Source organism: Homo sapiens, chromosome 13, assembly GCF_000001405.40.
Source record: "Homo sapiens chromosome 13, GRCh38.p14 Primary Assembly".
NCBI lineage: Eukaryota > Metazoa > Chordata > Mammalia > Primates > Hominidae > Homo > Homo sapiens.
This window is the reverse complement of record NC_000013.11, coordinates 63,844,538-63,863,911: the sequence shown is the minus strand read 5'-3', so window position 1 is coordinate 63,863,911 and position 19,374 is coordinate 63,844,538. Positions and strand designations below refer to the sequence as shown.

The 19,374-nt window shown below is 35.9% G+C and overlaps 1 long non-coding RNA gene across 1 annotated transcript, besides 1 other annotated feature; it reads right to left on the bottom strand.

Annotated features, from left to right (window-relative positions):
* Positions 1-4,708: 4,708 nt before the first annotated feature.
* Positions 4,709-16,955, bottom strand: LOC105377815 (uncharacterized). Its single transcript, XR_942026.3, has 3 exons — positions 16,921-16,955; positions 16,553-16,679; positions 4,709-5,113 (listed from the first exon to the last, which is right to left on the bottom strand). It is a non-coding gene; the product is annotated as an uncharacterized LOC105377815 (long non-coding RNA).
* Positions 9,657-10,158: an enhancer, noted in NCBI's record as "NANOG hESC enhancer chr13:64427887-64428388 (GRCh37/hg19 assembly coordinates)". NCBI's record gives its function as "activates a minimal SCP1, AML or CMV promoter by ChIP-STARR-seq in naive H9 embryonic stem cells {active_cell/tissue: H9 hESC(naive)}" and the evidence as "EXISTENCE:reporter gene assay evidence [ECO:0000049][PMID:30033119]".
* Positions 16,956-19,374: the final 2,419 nt, after the last annotated feature.

Here is a 19,374-nt window from a genome sequence, read left to right as displayed (position 1 = left end):
CAGTTAGTATATAGTTGTTCATAATAGTCTCTGTGGTATTGGTTGTAGTGTCTACTTTTTAATTTCTAATTTTATTTCGTTTATTTATTTGGGTCTTTACTTCTGGTTACTCTAGCCTAGAACCATATTAAGTTTTTTATCTTTTTTACAAACTAAATTTTCATTTCATTGCTCCATTGTATTGTTTTCTTAGTTTCTATTTTGTTTAGTTCTCTGATCTTTATTACTCCTTTTCTTCTACTAATTTTTAGTTTGGTTTGTTGTTTTTATAATTCCTTTAGGCACATCACTAGATTCTTTTGAACTCTTTCCGCTTTTTTTGTGTAGGTGTTTATTGTTATATACTTTCCTCATAACACTGTTTTTTTCTGTATCCCATAGGTTTTGGTATGTTGTGTTTTGATTTTTGCTTTAAGATAGTTTCCTCTTTAATTTCTTAATTGACCCAGTCATCATTCAGGAGCATTTTGTTTAATTTCGTGTAACTGTTCCCAAAGTCCTTGTTACCAATTTCTAGTTTTATTCCATTGAAGTCTGAAAAGATACTTGATATGATTTCAATTTTAAAAAATTTGTCGAGGTTTATTTTGTGTCCTATCATGTGGTCTAACCTAAAGAGTGATCCATGTGCTTTTAAGAACAATGTGTATTCTGTAGCTGTTAGATGAAATGTTCTGTAAATGTCTGTTAGGTCCTTTTATTTAAATGCAGCTTAAATCCAATGTTTGTTTGTTAATTTTCTGTCCAGATAACCTGTCTAATGCTAAGAGCGAGATGTTGAAGTTCCTATTATTGTGTTTTATTCTATCTCTACCTCTAAATCTAATAACATTTGCTTTATATATCTGAGTGCTCTGGTGTCGGGTGCATATATTTCTAGAATTTTTATATTTTCTTGCTGAGTTGATCCTTTTATCATTATATAATGACCTTCTTTCTCTCTTTGCACTGTTTTTGACTTATATTCTGTTTTATCTAAGTATAGCTCTTCCTGCTTTCTTTTGGTTTTTGTTTGTGTGGACTATATTTTCCATGCCTTTACTTTCAGTCTGTATGACTACAGGTGAGATGAGTTCATTGTAGGCAGCATATGGTTGGATCTTGTTTCTTACACATTCAGCTAGTTTGTATATTGTAAGTGGGAATTTTAATCATTTTACATTTAAGGTTATTTTTGATATATGAAGGCTTTTTTCTGTCATATTATTATTTGATTTCTGATTGTTTTATGATTCTTTCATTCTTTTCATTCTCTTTTATTGTTTATCTTCATGGTTTGGTGGTTTTCTGTAGTGGCAACATTTGAGTCCTTTCTCTTTTTTACTTGTGTGTTTGCTGTATCAGTGAGTTTTATATTTTCATGTGTTTTCATAACGGTAGGAAGTTTTCTTTCACTTCCAAGTATGAGTTCCTTAAACATTTCTTCTAGAACCAGTCTAGTGGTGATGAGTCCCTTCAACTTTTGCTTATCTGGAAAATATTTTATTTCTTCTTCATTTATATAAGATAACTTAGTTGGATACAGTAGCTTTAGCTAGCAGGTTTTTTTGGTTTGGGTTTTGTTTTTTCTTTCAGCATTTTCAATATACTATTCTGTTCTCTCCTGGCCATTGAAGTTTCTGCTGAAAAGTTTACTGTTGGTCCAGTTATGGCTCCCTTATAAATGACTAGCTTCTTTTATCTTGCTTTTTCAATAATTTACTATATCTCTTTAACTTTTGACAATTTGACTATAATGTCCCATGAAGAAGATATTTTCGAATTGTATCTGTTGGAAATTTGTGAGCTGTCTGCATCTGAATGTCTAAATCTCTTGCTAGGTGTGGGAAGTTTTCAGCTATTTTGTTAAATTTGTTTTCTATCCCTTTTGTTTACTTTTCCTCTTCTATGATACTTAAAAATCTGAATATTTAGTTGCATCATGGTGTCCTATATGTCATGTAGGCATTATTCATTCTTTTTCATTCTTCTTTCTTTATTTTTCTTTAACTATTTCAGTTCCAGGATTGTTTGTGCCTTTTTAATGATTTCTGTCTCTTTGGTAAGTTTCTCATGTATGCACTGAATTGCTTTTCTGACTTATTTGTATTATTTTTCTGTGTTCTTTTGTATCTCACTGAGCTTTGTTAATATCATTTTTTTTCTGGAATTTCATAAGTTTCTTTTTCATTGGAATCTATTGCTAGAGAAACACCGTTTCCTTGAAAGGTATGATATTTCCTTAATATTTTTATGTTGTTTGTGTTCTTACACTGATTTCTGTGCTTCTAGTGTAAGGGTTGCTTCTTCCAATGTTTTGAAGTTGCTTTCATAGGGGCGGGCTTTATTCTGAAGATGTATCTATTATGTTAGTTGGTGTGTTAATCCATTTGTGTTGCTATAAAGGAATACCTGATACTGGGTAATTTATAAAGGAAAGATGTTTATTTATCTCATTGTTCTGTAGCTGTACAAGGAGCATGGCACTAGCATCTGCTTCTCGTGAGTACCTCAGGAAACTTCCAATCATGACAGAAGGCAAATGGTGGGGGGGCGGGTGTGGGAGGTGTCACATGGCAAAAAAGGGAGCAAGATAGAGCAGTAGAAAGTGTGAGATACTCTTCTGAGCATCCAGCTCTTGTGTGAATAGAGTGAAAGCCCACTCATTATCTCAGAGAGGACATCAAGCCATTCATGAGGCATCTGCCCCCATGAGCCAAACACCTCCCATTAGGCACCATTTCTAACATTGAGTATTAAATTTCAACATGAGATTTAATAAGAACAAATATCCAAACTACTTCAGGTGGGTAGGGTACTTTGGCTTTGATTCTGGATGCATATAGTAATGTCGTCTCCACGTGTTTTCTTCAGCTATAAACAGTACTACTGGTGCTGTGATTTCTTCAATGGCTTAGGGTGCAGTTTTAATGCAGGTTATTATAATCTTTTACTGGGAATTGTTATGCCAGGTGGGCCCGTTGTCAGGCCACAGTGGTTTCAGTGGCAGGTTGCTTGTCATTGGGCCCTTGAGTGGTATACACTGCCACTGCTTTTACCTGGTCAGGTGAGCTGATTCTTGGGCCACTTGCTGAAATGCTGGAAGTGGCAGCAGTGGGAGGGGTAGGTGGGTGGGTTCTTGTGACTTGTGACCCTGGGCAAAATGCATGGCATAGGCAATGGCAATAACATGGTCAGATAACCCTCTGGCTGTCAAAAGTGGTCCATATTGATTTTGGTGGTGGCTGTGTGGGCCACTCCCCAGGTCTGCAGGTGGCATGTGCAGGTGGGTTCCAGCTATTTTGGTAATGGCAGGTAGAGTGGTCTCAACCTCAGGTTCTTGTGAGGAATGCACAGGTACAAACCACATTGCCTTAGCTGGGCTATCCCCAAGTCTCAGATGGCATGCTTTGGCACTCATGGGGGCAGAGCATGGGCAGAACTGGGCCAGGTGCACCTGTCCTCAGGTCCCACGTTGGCGGGTGTAGGTACTGGCTGTGGTAGACAGGTGCAGGGTTATCCCCATTCCCTCAGTGGAATACTCAGGTTGGGGTGACAGTGACTGTGCTATGGCTCTGCTATTGAGGAAGGTGAGCAACGTTCCTTCCAATGGCAGCAACCATAGGTAGGTGACTAGGGAGCACGTACTAAGACCCCAGTTGGTGACTACAGGTGAGGTAACCTGTTCCCAGGTCCCTTGTTTATGCACAATGGCTCTGTTGCTGCAGGGGTCACTGCAAGTGGCTCACGATTCAGCCCTGGCAGCAGCAGCCAACCACAATGGTGGCTGCAGGTAACTAATGTCAATGGGGCTCCCAGGATGTGAAGATGCAGAAATTTTTAGTCCCCAGGGCAAAATGAAGTATGGTGGGGGCTTATTTCTCAAAATGGTGCCTTGCTGTAGCTGCTTATGACTATGGAGATATGTGGGACCCAGTGTGAGCTTCCTCTCTGAAGCAATGTCATTGCATGGTTCCCATGCACCTTCCTATGTTAAGTCTCAGGGACCAGAAGAGTCAAGGGGCACTCCCATGGCAGGAATTGCAGGAGTTTTCCATGGTAACATAGACCACTGGGGTTCTCTCACTTACTGTATCCCATACTGGGGAGCCTCTCCAGGCTTCTAGGCAATCCTGGCCAGTCAGGCTGCCTCACTTCTGTCTCCTTCCTTGCTTTTGGTTTTTTACATCACTTCTCAGTTGAATCCCAGTGTCCAGTCTTAAATGAGATATTTGAATTATCTACTTGCTATTTTGTTTCTTCTTTATGGAGAAGGTAAGTACCAGAGGCCTCTAGTCAGCCATCATGAAGCCTCTCCTCCATTTGACTATTAATGTGTATGTTTTTTAACATTTAGTTTTCTAAATAAGAAGTAAACCAATGAGCCCATATAATTTCTCTGTGAGAAATACCTGTAAACTAAGGTAACTAGTGATAGAAAGCTCTACTCTATAACCTTACTTGATTAACTCATCCAAAACAAAGTTCTATTTTAAAAGTTCTTATTAATTATGACTCATTGCTATTAGCCAGTGAGGTTAATTCAGAAGACCAAGGTGTGCTACTCTTGTCACTGGAGCATACAAACTTTCTTCCAAGTAAGTGGTTCCCAAACCTGGCTGCATATTTCAATTATTTGGAGAGAATTTTAAGAATACATGCTTTGGCCTCACCTCAAAATCATGGAGGATGGGTTCTGGACATCAGTATATCTTTAAAGATTCAAAGATAATTCTAAATAATGCTGCTTTATTTAAGAACCTCTGCTACAAATAATTGAGTTAAATTTATGGGTTGAAATTCCAGGTAGGTAGAGCCAGACAATTCTGTTTTCCATAGGGTGGCTGAGAGACAATCATGTAATGTCCATACTCCAAATTCTTCGTGTAAGATGTCAACTGCATACATAATATTTTGCTGATCCCAGTCTCTACCATCACAATACATGAACACCAATCAGTCTATCTTCATAATCTTGCCAGAAACATCTGAGCCCCTGTGATGCATTTATTGTGTGTTTAAGAAAAGTCTCTCTCAACCTCCAAAGTAAATTAAATAATTCCCTCTTATTTCTGTCAATTTCATCCGTTGGCAAGGCCTGTACTATTCATGAAGGAAGCACCATTCTTGATACCTGAAAAAGGTGATCATAAAGGAAACTAAATGTTATTATAATGCTTTTGAATCATGTTCCTTTTAAAGTTACCAGAGTTACTTTCTGGAGCTGCTAAAATTATTCATAAGTATTAAATACAAGTTCTACAATTCCTACCACCTGCACTGCTGCACCACTCAAGACATTGTTAGTGCAATTGAATAAATCATTATCTCTTTCTTAAGCTAGGATATGCAACAGTACCAGTTCAGTTTCATTGATTACATACATATTTAATTAAATACTAATAGGTATCAGGCTCTTCGTTAGATGCTGCTCAGTAACCCTGTTTTTGCAGAAGGCAACACATGTAGCACAGCATCTGCCTTCTGTTAGTATCACAGAAATAACCTGACAACATCACTGCCCTGCCCTGAATTCATCCCACCCAAGGAGACAGAACTCCTATTTCCACTTTTGTGACACATTCTATTATTTTGGTACAAAGGCACCATTGGGTTGTTATTGGAGTCTTCTCACAGCTATTTAGTTTGAAAATTTTTTTTACGTTCTTTTCAACAATTCACTCTACTTATTCCCTAGAGAGTTAGAGGTGAAGAATGTGTGTGTTTGTGTGGAAAATGGGTGGGAGACTTTTATTCTAAATGACATGCACCATGGTCTGTTAAATATCTTTCATTTTCTTTCTCTTAAACTTACAGCACTGCACATAAAAAACATTCCTCACTATCTTTTCCACTTTTTTGGGGAGTTTCCTCAATCCTTCATGCAGATAGACTCCTAGAGAAATTTTATGGGCCATAGAAAAATTGAAGTGGGCTCATGATATCACACTTACTATAATTTATGAAATTATTCCATTTATCAATTTTACTCTATTTGTAATTTAAAATTTCAGTATCGTTTTCAATTTCTAACAATATACATTGGTTTTCCAAGGAGCTATTTAAAATTATTTTATAACACTATATAACTCATGTCTTAATAAATATTGATTTTCTTTAGGAAATGATGCTCAAGTTTTTGACTGATTATATTCTATCTGCAGGTCAGTCATAAGAATGTATCAGAGAGAGCTTTGGTTTCTCAGTTCATAAGCGCAACACACATAAATCATTAAAAGCAAGTGATAACTAATCAGTACATCTTATTCGATATTTTAGAAGGAGCATTTGTAATCATCACCAACTCTATATTCGTGCTATCAAATGTGGGGATGCATTATGTATATAATCTCTACATTTCTGTTGTTAAAATCTATAATAATAATAAACACTATGGACAGAGTAAAGTCTTTTATTTTGAAACCCAAGAAATGCAATGTACAAACAATAAAAGGCAGTGGGAGAGCACCAGCCTCTCTATTGACACAATCCTTTTCATTTTCTCCTAGGGTCTTGCTGATCATGGGATTGTATCAAATATTCTTAACAGCATGAAATAATCAACATCCTGAACTAGAGAAAGAGCAAGATCAGTAGGCAGAAAAATGTTATGTAACCATGAAAATAGTTATGAAATTTGATGATAATCTCTCTTTTCTTACAGTTTTATTAAATGCATATATATGTAATAATTATTAAACAGCATAATAATATAGATAACAATTTTTTTAAAAAAAACCCACCCTCTACTAAACTTCCTGGATGTGATTTATATGATTTGTAAATGTCTTAAGTTTAAAAATACAGAAAAAATATTACCTTTAGAAAGAACAGAAATTGTAAGTAACCCTTTCATTTCCCCTTACATATAGGCATCTCAAAAATCTCACTCAAAGAAGAAGATCCTGCCATTTGCAACAACAATCACTAAGTAAATAACTCAGACAGAGGAAAATGAACACTGCATGATCTCACTTTTATGTAGAATCTGAAAAAATAGAACTCATAAAGGCAGAGAGTGAAAAGGTGGTTGTCAGAGGCTGGTGGGGAAGTGGATTGGGAAAATGTTGGTAACTTTCAGTTGTAAGATAAGTAAGTTATGGGACTAACATAGAGCATGGTGAGTATAGTTGACAATATTGTATTGTTTATTTGAAATTTGATAAGGAAAATTTTAAGTATCCTACACAAACACACACACACACATGCACATGCATGCATACACACAAATGGTAACTGTGTGTGGTGATAGATGTGTTAATATATACTATACATACAATTGGTATGCTATATATATATGTATACATAATATATATACAATTTTTATGTCAACTAAATATATTTAAATAAATTAATCTTATTAAATATACAATACAAATTATAACAAACTGCACACTTCTGAAAATTTTCTCCAATTCACTTCAAACTGTTCTTTCATGAAAGCTCTTACTTCTCATTCCAATATCCTATATTATATTCTTAGCAATATTTCACATAAGTACTTTTTGGGGGAATGTACCACATAGTGATAAACATAGGTCTATTTTTATTTCACAGAGGTCTGCAGATTATCCTTGTCCATTTTTAGTTCTTAATGATAAATTATTAATTATATACATCCATTTTAATAACTATTTATTGTTAAAACAGTGTCTATCACCCAGATAGACAAATTTTTTAAAAAGAAACGCTACATGGTTTTAGTGCTAGTTAAGGTCAAGTGATAGAAATAGAAAATAAATAGTGATAAAAAATAAATGGTGATAGAAAATAAATGGTGATAAAAAATAGCGTTACCGCTTGAGTTTACATCCAAATTGTATTTAAATTACATTTTACCATTGCTTATGTCAATTTAATAATACTCTTTGCAGAAGGTAGATTTTCACAATAATGGTCCTGACTAAATCACTCTTCGTCTGTCTACAACCCAGTAAGTTGATTGCTGCTGAGTAGCCATTTTCCCACGTCTAATACCTGAACTGGCCTTGTGACTCACACAGACCAACACAAAGTCGCAAAATGATGTTGTCTAACTTTGAGGCCTTATGAGGTCTTATAGTTTCCATTCTTGCTTCCTTGCAATGATTCACCCTAAAGGTTTTCTATCAATTGCATGAGTCTGCTGAGACAGAATACTGGCACAACAAGTCAAGCGAAGTATACATATCATTCGCAGATAGGCATCAAGGATAAACAAGCCCTAGGATCCATTGCAAGCTGAACTCCAAAGTTCAGGAAAACTGCCTAGGTTAAATAGTCTCGTCTGTGCATGCCTCACAACACACTGCAGCTAAGGGACCTGAGAGCACTCCATTGTGGGTTTTACATTGGAAACGACTTGTCACACTGAGTTCAGGTTTGCAGAACATCCTGTTCTGAGAGGAATAAGGACATAGTCTGGGTTATTTCAGACATCTCCCCTTTATCTCTGGATGCTGCATTCTTGATAAATTCTGAGAACTGCAAGCAGGAGGGAGAAGAGCTGAGGAAGACTTAGAAAAAATAAAATCTCTGAGCCTCTTTGTATTCCTAGAAATAGTGATTTAAACAGGCCTTTTTCACCATAAGAATACATTTGGGGAAGAAACATTCTTCTCTCACTTTTGTATTTGCTTTTCATGTTATGACATTTTTTGCTTGACCATACAGTCAATAATCTGTTATTAATGGAATATTTTATACTCCTAGAACTACACTTCTAAGAATTATAATCTCATAGTTGGAATTATCTTTCAGTAGAAATTTTTGATGATGGACATCATTATATTATAGTAGAAATCTCTCTTGTCATGCTCAAGAGAAAATATTGATGAGCCTGGATAGCTAACCGGGAGGAAGAAAAATATCAAAAGCATTTTCCTTCGTGGGGAGGTTTTCTGGATGATATAAATCAAGAACTCACAAGGAAGTGCCCCCTTCAAGTAAAAAATTTGATTATGAGATATTGCGACCCTGAAAACCAGCATCTGTTTTTTGATAATTTATTTTATTTTCAGAACTGTGTTTTGAGATGCCATTTTTGCCTGATGCTTTATATATCCCATATGAGGAAAGATGACCTTTTCACATATTCCAGATTAGTTATAGAATACTAAAAATAATCAGTATAAATGAATGTGACAAAGTGTCATGAGTGGGAAGAAATACTTTCATAATACTTTATGGGTTAAGTTCAGGTAAAGTAAATGTAAAACTTCGAGTTTAAAGTTTCTTCATTAGCAAAGTTTTGGAAAGACATAGACATGATCTCAGACAATAATATAATATACGCATAAAATTAAAATGATTATTTAGAAATAAAACCTTAAGAGTAAAATATAGTAGTACAAAATATTAAGTTCAGTGTGGATTTTAAAGCTACATTAAAATCTGCCAGGGAAACAAAACTAAACTATGGAGTGCTTTCTCATCCTTGCGCTGGATTATCTTCACATTAAATAAGGAGTAAGTATTTATATTCTCAGATTCTATAATAAATATTGGCATGACATGTAAGACATGAAGTCAGAGCATTTATTTATAAATATCTTGATAAATATCATTCTCATGTCTAATCTTTTCATTGTAATACACAATAGAACCGACTTTCTCCTTCCTGAATTTTCACAGTATGTAAATGATGCAATTATCACTTCAGGCAGACATCGCTTTTTTTTTTTTAAATTATGTCATGGCAAAAGCAGAATAAAGCCAAAGCTTCAAAAAGTTTAATAGTTAGCCATCTATAAGAAGTGGCACCTCTTAAATAAGCAAGTCACCAAAAAAAAACACCTGTGTAAGAAATGTCAGAATGAAATACAGTAAAACCGAATTTGTACTGAGAATCTTTATCAGAGTGCATAAGTCTTTTCACATGTGGCCTGTTATCCTAGTGTGAAGATCATAGGGGAAATAATTGCTAAAGGGTGCATCCAGCTGAGTCTCTATTTTATCTCTGTATTTATGAGAAAGAAGATAAAAGGCAGTGCTCAATCTAGCAAGATCAGAGTTTACGGCTCCTGTTGGATGTTAGTTTTGAACTTGGGTAATACAGGTTGCTTTTCCTAATGAAGTGATAAAATGTGAAGATGAACAATTTAAACCTTCTCTAATAAAAAAAAATCAGTGGAATATAAAGGCATCACAATTAATTAGTCTCTTTTTAAATTTTCCTCTTTGATTTACTTTCAGGTTATTATAATATGAAACTCGAATCTATGTTTAGCAAACGGAAAAAAAGAACATTTAAATCTAATGAAGATCAAGGTAATTAAAACAATTGAATATAACAGCAGAAACTCAGGCTGTGAAAACACCTTTAATGGAATCATTCGATTAACCTGATTCAGTAATATCATTCAAAACAAGAGTTTACTCAGAAAACATTAGGTGCTTGACAGGATATGCCATTCTCTGTTTTGGCAGAGGTAATGTCAAACTTGGTATATATAAGGACAGATGGTAAGAAATCAGAATGCGTACCTATATTACACTTTTAAAAATGTTTCAAGAAACTTATCTTCCGTTATACTTTGTTAAATGGACTCCTGCATAGAAAAAAAAAGTAAATATGTTCTTTATATTTATGTATTCATTTACTTATAGCCTTCTCTTATATGGGAATATTCTAAAGAAGCTAAATGTTACATTAATGTGCATATATTTCATATTTTAAATAAATGATGTTATTCCAAATTTTCTATGATATCTCAAAAATTAAAGATTATTCGTTGCTATTTTAATAATGACTATTCATTATTCTTGATTATTAATGATTATACACCAATAGAGTACAGATCAATATTTTAACTTTCACATACATTGATAGGCAAAATGCAATAGGGAATGTAATATAAATAGTACTACCTTTGCTAGATGAAGTTTACACTATCCCACTGTGTTGAAATGTAAATGTTTAAAATGTAATTATTTGAAAGTGTTATATGAAAGATTTACATGTGGCTTAATCTATATTGATGGGCCATTATTGACATTAAAGTAAATTCAATAGGTTGTTTATATGAATGGTTTGACAATTATATCAACTTTCCTAAAACTACAAGAAATATTTTCTTTTGTGTTGGAGATAAAAAATCTAAAATTTTATCTAAATTTTACTGAAAAATGTAGAGTTTCTACTAGCATGTGAATCCATCAATGACCACAATACTCAAAGGGGATCTTTTTAGAGTATTAACTGTCAACTATATTTTAATCAGTGTAGCATAACATCTTGACAAGGTCAATAAAAATGACTTTCAAAGTGTTTAGAATTGACGGCATATGCAACAGTAATTAATTCTGGACAATTTTATGTTTTAGAGAGAACCTTGGATGATAGGAACATTACAGACTTTAGAAAAAAAATTTAAAAAGGAGATTCTCATCCCAGCTGAGCTCTCAGCTAGGAGTGAGTGCTATGGGATACTGACCTAACTTCATTGTCTCAGTTTCTTATGTGTAAAATAGTAATAAATGGGCATTACTATCCTTGGTTGCTAGTAACATTTAACATACTGATTCTTATTTAGAATATTTTGAATAGGAAATAAAATAGCAATTTACCTATTTTCTTTCTGTCTTCTTTTAAATAACTTAGCTTTTCTTAAGTTTTTGTTGTAATTGAAAGGCAAGAGATAAAACAATCAAGCATAAAAACATTCACTATTTTACTTATATCAATATAATATCACATTTGTAAAGTTGGTAAAATGAAAGAATTTTAAGTCAGCCTAAAGTGTATAATTGTCATTGTTAGCCAAAACATCTAAAGAAGAAGCTTAACTTGGAAACTAAGTGTCACTGTTAATGTGCTATCAAGTTCATGTTTATTGTATCATAGATATCTAGGAGACTTGAGAAGGATGCTTACATGCACTCACACAAACATATTCTCTATCTTTTGCTTAATTTTTTGTGATGCTTACTTTCCTGAATTTTCAGTCTGTAAGTAAAGCCATTGCATATATGCTAATGTCCACGAAGTGTAGGGGTGTACTAAAATTGAGTATGTGTAAGCAGGTTTTAGAGGCCTCATGAACAGGTGACACATGCTAATACTATTAAAACTTCTATTTTGTCCTTGAATCCCATTTATATCAGTTTGTAACTTATAAAAATCATAAGGTGTTTGTTTCACTTATTTTCTTTCTCTTTGTCCTTTTCTTCCTGCATGCATGCTTGCTTGCACACAGTCATTTTGATAGAAGATAGTCACTAGTAATTGATTAACTTCATGTTCTAACCCCCAAGTGTTGCCTACAAGATTAATGAGATTGTTTTTGTTTTAAAGAACAATAATCTTAGGTTATGCAGACCTCCTTGATGGCATCCAGAAGTCTGATCAGAGGAGGGATGGACACAGCTTTGACTAGGAGATCTCACCTCCCGCATACCGACCTTACTCATAAAAGCTTCTGGTTATGTTCAAAGGCAAGTCGGATTTGAGAATTTGCCTCTCGCACTCTCTCATTTTGGCCAAATCAAATAATGCCTTTCTCTCTTCCTAAGCGCTGATGTATCAGTGTTTGGCTTATTGTGCATTGGGTACTCAAACTTAAATTTGGGGGTTTTGTAACAATTTCACTCTTCTGCAATCAATTGAAATAAATTTTCTCCTTTGATTTCTGTTTGTTCTTTCACTCACCTGCAATGATTCTACCAGAAATGTTTTAATCAGTAAAGATATAGCTTGAATTTTTATACTTAACCCAAATTTACATGTCAAAATAAAAAATGAAAACAATAAAAAAAACTATGCATGCCTCTCCATCTACACATTAATGGCAAAAGTGCAAGATATAGAAAGCATGGCTTGAGTGCTGTGTGTGTACTGATTATTTCATACATATGTACTCTTTAAACTTTATCTATGTAGAGAAATAAATTCTAAGATTACTGCTCTTTCTCAAATAATAAAAAGCTCAAGAACTGCTAATCACAGGAATAAAAAAATCCCTATATAATATTTCATTAGTGATATTTTCAGCCCGAGTGCTTCTATTACCTATATTTTTTGGTAAGTATATTTTTATATAGTTATTTACGGAATATCTGATTTACTATAATAATAAATTTGTGTTAACAAAAAGTTTAAATATTGAATGCATTAAATAAAATCTAGTTACTTGTCTAGGAAATTTTCAAAGCAAAACTTACTCAAATATTAGTTGACATTGTGAAAATAGTTCTGAACATAATGTCTCAGACATAACATAAAACTTTTTAAATGAAAGCGAGAATTTATGTCTAACATGTAAAATAAATTGTGTCAGTATTAGAATAGTATTTTGACCTTGAACAGAAATATATCTGTAATAATCATCACTATGTTGCCAAAATGAGAGAAAATAACACTATATAAATACTTAATCAAACAGTGCTTTATCTTTTCATCTAATAATATAGATATACCCCTAAAATTTACCATTCTAAGAATGTGTACATGATGTATTACTAGCCATATAAAAATAATTGTGGTGGGCATTTTTGAGGGGTCGTTTTAGAACTTTTCAAAATTCCCCTGAGAATATTTTGTTAGAATAGGTGCCATATATTTTTAGAATCTTGATTTGGGAGCAATTTCAATATAAGTATTTCTAGTTATTTAAAACGAATAATTTTAAAAAGAACAGCAGTAAGGCAAGAAATAAAAGGTTAAAAACTTTTAGATTTTTATTTAAGACAGTTAATGTACATTACAGTCACATAGCACGTAATGAAGTTTCAGTCAATAATCCACTGCATATAGGATGGTGGTTCCATAAGATTGTAATGGAGCTGTAAAATTTCTGCCCTCTAGTGATGCTGTAGCCATCACAACTTCATAGGACGACACATTACTTACATGTTTGTGGTGATGCTGGTGTAAATGAACCTACCTTCATAAATGTATAGCACATATAATTATGTATAGTATGTAATACTTAATAATGATTATAAACTACCATGTTACTGGTTTATGTATTTACTCTACTATACTTTTATAGTTATTTTAGGTATTCCTTCTACTTAAAAAATAAAAATAAAGTTAAGTGTAAAAGATCCTCAGGCTGGTTCCTTAGGGAGATATTCCAGAAGAAAGCATTGTTATCATAGGAGATGACAGCTCCACACATGTTGTCCAACATGACCTTTCAGTGGGCAAGATGTGGAGGTTGAAGACAATGATATTGATGATCCCGATTCTGTGTAGGCCCAGTCTAACATGTGTGTTTGTGTTTTCATTTTTAACAAAATGTTTTAAAAGTAAAGAAAATAACAATTAAAATTGAGGCGGGTGGATCATCTGAGGTCAGGAGTTTGAGAGCAGCCTGGCCAACATGGCAAAACCTCGTCTCTACTAAAAATACAAAAAAAAAAAAAAAAAAAAAAATTAGCCAGGTGTGGTGGCATGCACCTATAGTCCCAGCTACTCATGAGACTGAGGCAGGAGAATCACTTCAATCCAGGAGGATGAGGTTGCAGTGAGCCGAGGTCCACCATTGCACTCCAGCCAGGCTAACGAGCTAAACTACATCAAAAAAAAAAAAAAAAAAAAAAAAAAAAAAGAAAGAAGGAAGGAAGGAAGGAAGGAAGGAAGGAAGGAAAAAGAGAAGGAAAAAACAGAAAAAAACTTATAGAACAAGGATCTAATGAAAAAAATGCATTGTTAACATGCCTCTCCCACATAGAAAGACAAACTAATGTGTAGAGTCTCACACTATGAACTTTTTTCCAAAAAGAGATTCAGGAACTTAGAAAAACTAAAAGAAACCCCAGACTCTTTGAAAAAAAAAAAAAAAAAGCTGCAGGCTGCATGCTATACTGTGAGCCTGGTGGAAAACTGTAAGTTCCCAGAATCTGAGAGGGAGATGAACTACCTCCAGGTTATATACTTCCAGCAGGGAACCTGGCAACCCAGGCCACGAGGGAAGGCCTTAACCCTACCCAGCTCTGGAACTGATTTAGGAAGCAATGGGGAATATAAAAGTAGGTACGGCTACTGGAAGAGCCTTGCGTGCATTCCCAGTCTCCAGTGTAGTTGGAGGGAGACCGTTTCTGACTCTACCTCATAGGAGACCTCAGGGAAGTCTGCCAGCTAAATAAGGCGGTGGTAACAGCTTAAGAGAAGCTCCCAGCTAAAATTCACAATATAATTGAGTGCTCATGAACTCCCTTGGCCAGAACCAGGGGGTGAGTGGGAAGTGTGTTGCAGCTACTGTGATGGAGCTGGGTGCCATTGCTTAACAGTTGGTCAAGGAGGAGCATGATCTGAAAGTCAGGCTTATGGCCTGGGACAGTTTTGATTTCTAAGTGCAGAATGCCTGGAATTTAGCTAGCTGTAGCTAGCAGAACACTACAGGGGTGAGACCTGCCTTGCCAACTACATGAGAGCTGGGTGAGGCTTACTGTTGTCTGCTACTCCACACTCCCTATGTAAACTGTGCAACAAAGGCAGCCTTGCTTCCCCCTAGAACATTATCCCAGCAGCCAGAGAATCATCAACAAATCCCCACAGGGGCTATTGCTTGTCCCATGCACGGAAAGACAGAATACGGACCTATCTGATCCAGCCCCCACCTGGCTTTGCCCCTGAGCCTGCCCTGGTAGTTTACCACAACAGACAGAAACTTTTGGGAGCTCTATGTCCCTGGTCATTCCTTGAGAATCCAGAATAACTCCCTAGGTAACATAAGGCAAACACAAATCGCACTGTTACCATCATAACTGGCACTCTTTTGCAACTGTCATCTTCTGGCTGGAGGTCAGCTGGCACAGTTCATTATGTCATCTCCAGGCAGATTAATGCAGTGCTCAAGAAGGAGAAAATTTGTGCATAACCTCAGCTATCATCATTGCCTTCAACACCCTGGCTAACCAGGAGGTCCTGAGTCTTTCCACATGACCAGTTAATTCCTACTACAACCAGCATTGGAGAAATCCAACACACTAAGGCTATTTATAACCAAGGAATCTCACAGGGTCTATGTCACTAACCTGTCACCTCCATCAGAGCTGGTGTTGGTACCCACTGCTGTGGGTACCTGCAGCTCTATCCAAATAGTCAGGCAGCCCTGATACTTGTGAGACGTCTGGGAGAAGGGGACTTCTTTTCCCACTCATTCATCACTACAGACACAGCTGGGAATTCTCTCATGGGACCTCAGCATGGGTGTAACTATAAACAGACTTGAGGACAGGTAACATCACTGGATCCCTTGCAGACATTCCGGAGCATCCACATGAAGTGTGGCAGCCCCACTGTACGGCTAGACCCAGAGGAGCAGCAGCATACACGGTAGAATAGCTCTCAGGGCTTTCTACTCCTAAGAGAAAGAAGAATGCACCACATCAAAGGAACATTCCATGGGACAAAACAATCCAGATGGCAGGCTTTGAGTCCCAAAATTTTTCTGCCGGTGGGAAGTTTCTTTTAGTAGAGGCATAGGTGCAGTGCTGGGCTCAGCGGGGAATACCTGCAGCTCTATCCAAATACTCAGGCAGCCCTGATACTTGTGAGAGGTCTGGGAGAAGGGGACTTCTTTTCCCACTCATTCATCACTACAGACACGGCTGGGACTTCTCTCATGGGACATCAGCATGGGTGTACCTGTAAACGGTCTTTCTGGAACACTTCAAGGCGACTGCATCACCACCAAAGGAGTGCTCTTCAGATTCAGGCTTGCATGAGGGGTAAGGTAACAATTCCTCTCTATTTGAATGTCCTCTCGATATTCCTACAGATGATAAGAGGTGCCTGTCTGATCTGAACAGCCAGAATACTGGGCCAAGAGAATGACTGTGATATGGTTTGGCTCTGTATCCCCATCCAAATCTCATTTCAAATTGTAATCTTCACATGCTGGGGAGGGGCCTGGTGAGAAGTGATTGAATCATACAGGAGGACTTCCCCCTTGGTGGTCTCCTGACAGTGAGTGAGTTCTCATGAGATCTGGTTTGAAAGTGTGTGACACTTACCCCTTTGTGCTCTCTCTCTCTCTGTGTCTCTCTCCTGCTGCCACTGTGAAGAAGGTCCTTGCATCTCTTCCACCTTCTGCCATGATTTTAAGTTTCCTGAGGCCTCACAGTCATGCTTCCTGTTAAGCCTGTGGAACTGTGAGTCAATTAAACCTTTTTTCTTCATGAATTACCCAGTCTCAGGTAGTTCTTTATAGCAGTGTAAGGATGGATTAATACAACTATAAGATGGATCACTTTCCTGCTGGCCTGGCAGGAGAGTTGAGGTGGCTCCCACTTTTCCCTCTGATAAGACCTCAACGTGTTACATTGGGAGATCCCTCAGTCACCCTCAAGGCTGTGACCTCTGTCTATCATTGCATATTGCATTTACCCACCTGCTTTAGTGACAACTTGTTTCTACCCAGGGACACCTTCCCTACTGGACTGCAGCTTGAACTATTCAACCTAATAAATAAAATACTGTGGAAAAATAAATAAAGTGAAAACCACAAGGGAATGAGATAGGCTTCAACAGACCTCTGCCATTCTAGCTTCATAGGAGACAGTAAACTTGCTCATACACCATCATCTGAGGAATCCACATACACAGACCCTCTATAACCAAGGAGCTGATACAGTCTTCACCCCTGAAAACATCAATAGCTGAATTACACCACAATTAACTATAAACATGGAAGTCACATCCTTAAGGGGAAAAAAGAAATTAAAAAAAAAAACACAGTCAATTCAAAAATAATTTGAAGAAATAGTCTACCCAAATGAGAAGGAGCCAGAAAAATAATTCTGGCAATATGACAGTATGTATGTAACACCTCCAAAAGATCACATTACCTCTCAAGCTATGAATCTATATCATTGTGAAATCTTTGACATACCAGATAAAGAATGCAAAAGGTTGATTATTAAACTACTCTATGAGATAAAAGAGAAAGGTGTACACCAACATGAAGAAATTAAAAATAATAATTCAGAATATGAATGAAAACTTCCTAAAGAGTTAGATATTTTAACAATATCAGAACTTATGGAAATGAAAGACACATTTAGGGAATTACAGAATGCAGTAAAAAATTCCAACAATAGACTAGATCAAGTTAAATAAAGAATTTCAGAGCTCAAAGACAAGGCTTTGGAATTAACCCATCAGAAGAAAATAAAGAAAAAAGAATATAAAGAAATGCACAGTCTCCAAGAAATAGGGGATTAGTAAAATGGCCACATCTAAGAATAACTCATATTCCTGAGGGAAAAAAGAAGGCAAAAAGTTGGAAAAATTTATTTGGGGGAATAATTGAAAAAACTTCTGTGGCCTTGCTAGAGATTTAGATATTCAGATACAAAAAGCTCCAAGAACTTTTGGGAGATTTAATGCAAAAAGACATTGCCAAGGCATGTAGTTATCAGGATGTCTAAAGTCAACCTGAAAAAAAAAATCTTTTTTTAATCAAGGTTTCAGAAATCGAATATAATATATAATATTAAAATCATTTTATACAAGAGCAATGAACAATATGAAATTGAATTTTTTCAAATGGTACTTATAATAGCAAAAAATACAAAATACCTCCAGATAAATCTGATAAAATATGTGAAAGTTTCACACAGCTAAAATTATAAAACACTATTAAAAATTAATGATTACCTAAATAAATAAAGATACTTTTTCTGGTAATACAATAGAATGATATTTTTATTTTTGTTTTTGTTTTCAATTTTACCTTAAGTTCTGGGATACATGTGCAGATCATGCAGGTTTGTAACATAGGTATACATGTGCCATGGTGGTTTGCTGTACCCATTAACCCGGCATCTAGGTTGTAAGCCCCACATGCATTAGGTATTTGTCCTAATGCTATCCCTCCCCTTGACTCCCATCCCCCAAAAGGCCCCAGTGTGTGATGTTTCCCTCCCTGTGTTCATGTGTTCTCACTGTTCAATGTCCACTTATGAGTGAGAAAACATTGTGTTTGGTTTTCTGTTCCTGTGTTAGCTTGCTGAAAATGATGGTTTCCAGCTTCATCCATGTCCTTGCAAAGGACATGAACCCACCCTTTTTATGGCTGCATAGTATTCCATGATGTATATGCACCACATTTTCTTTATCCAGTGTATCATTGATGGGCATTTGGGTTGGCTCAAATGCTTTGCTATTGTGAACAGTCCTGCAATAAGCATACATGTGCATGTGTCTTTATAGTAGAATAATTCGTAATCCTTTGGATATATACGAAGTAATGGGATTACTGGATCAAATGGTATTTCTTGTTCTAGATCCTTGAGGATTCGCCACACTGTCTTCCACAATGGTTGAACTAATTTACACTCCCACCAACAATGTGAAAGCATTCCTATTTCTCCACATCCTCTCCAGCATCCGCTGTTTACTGACTTTTTAATGATTGCCATTCTAACTGGTCTTAGGAGCCAGCCCCTCCTAACCAGCGCGCCTAC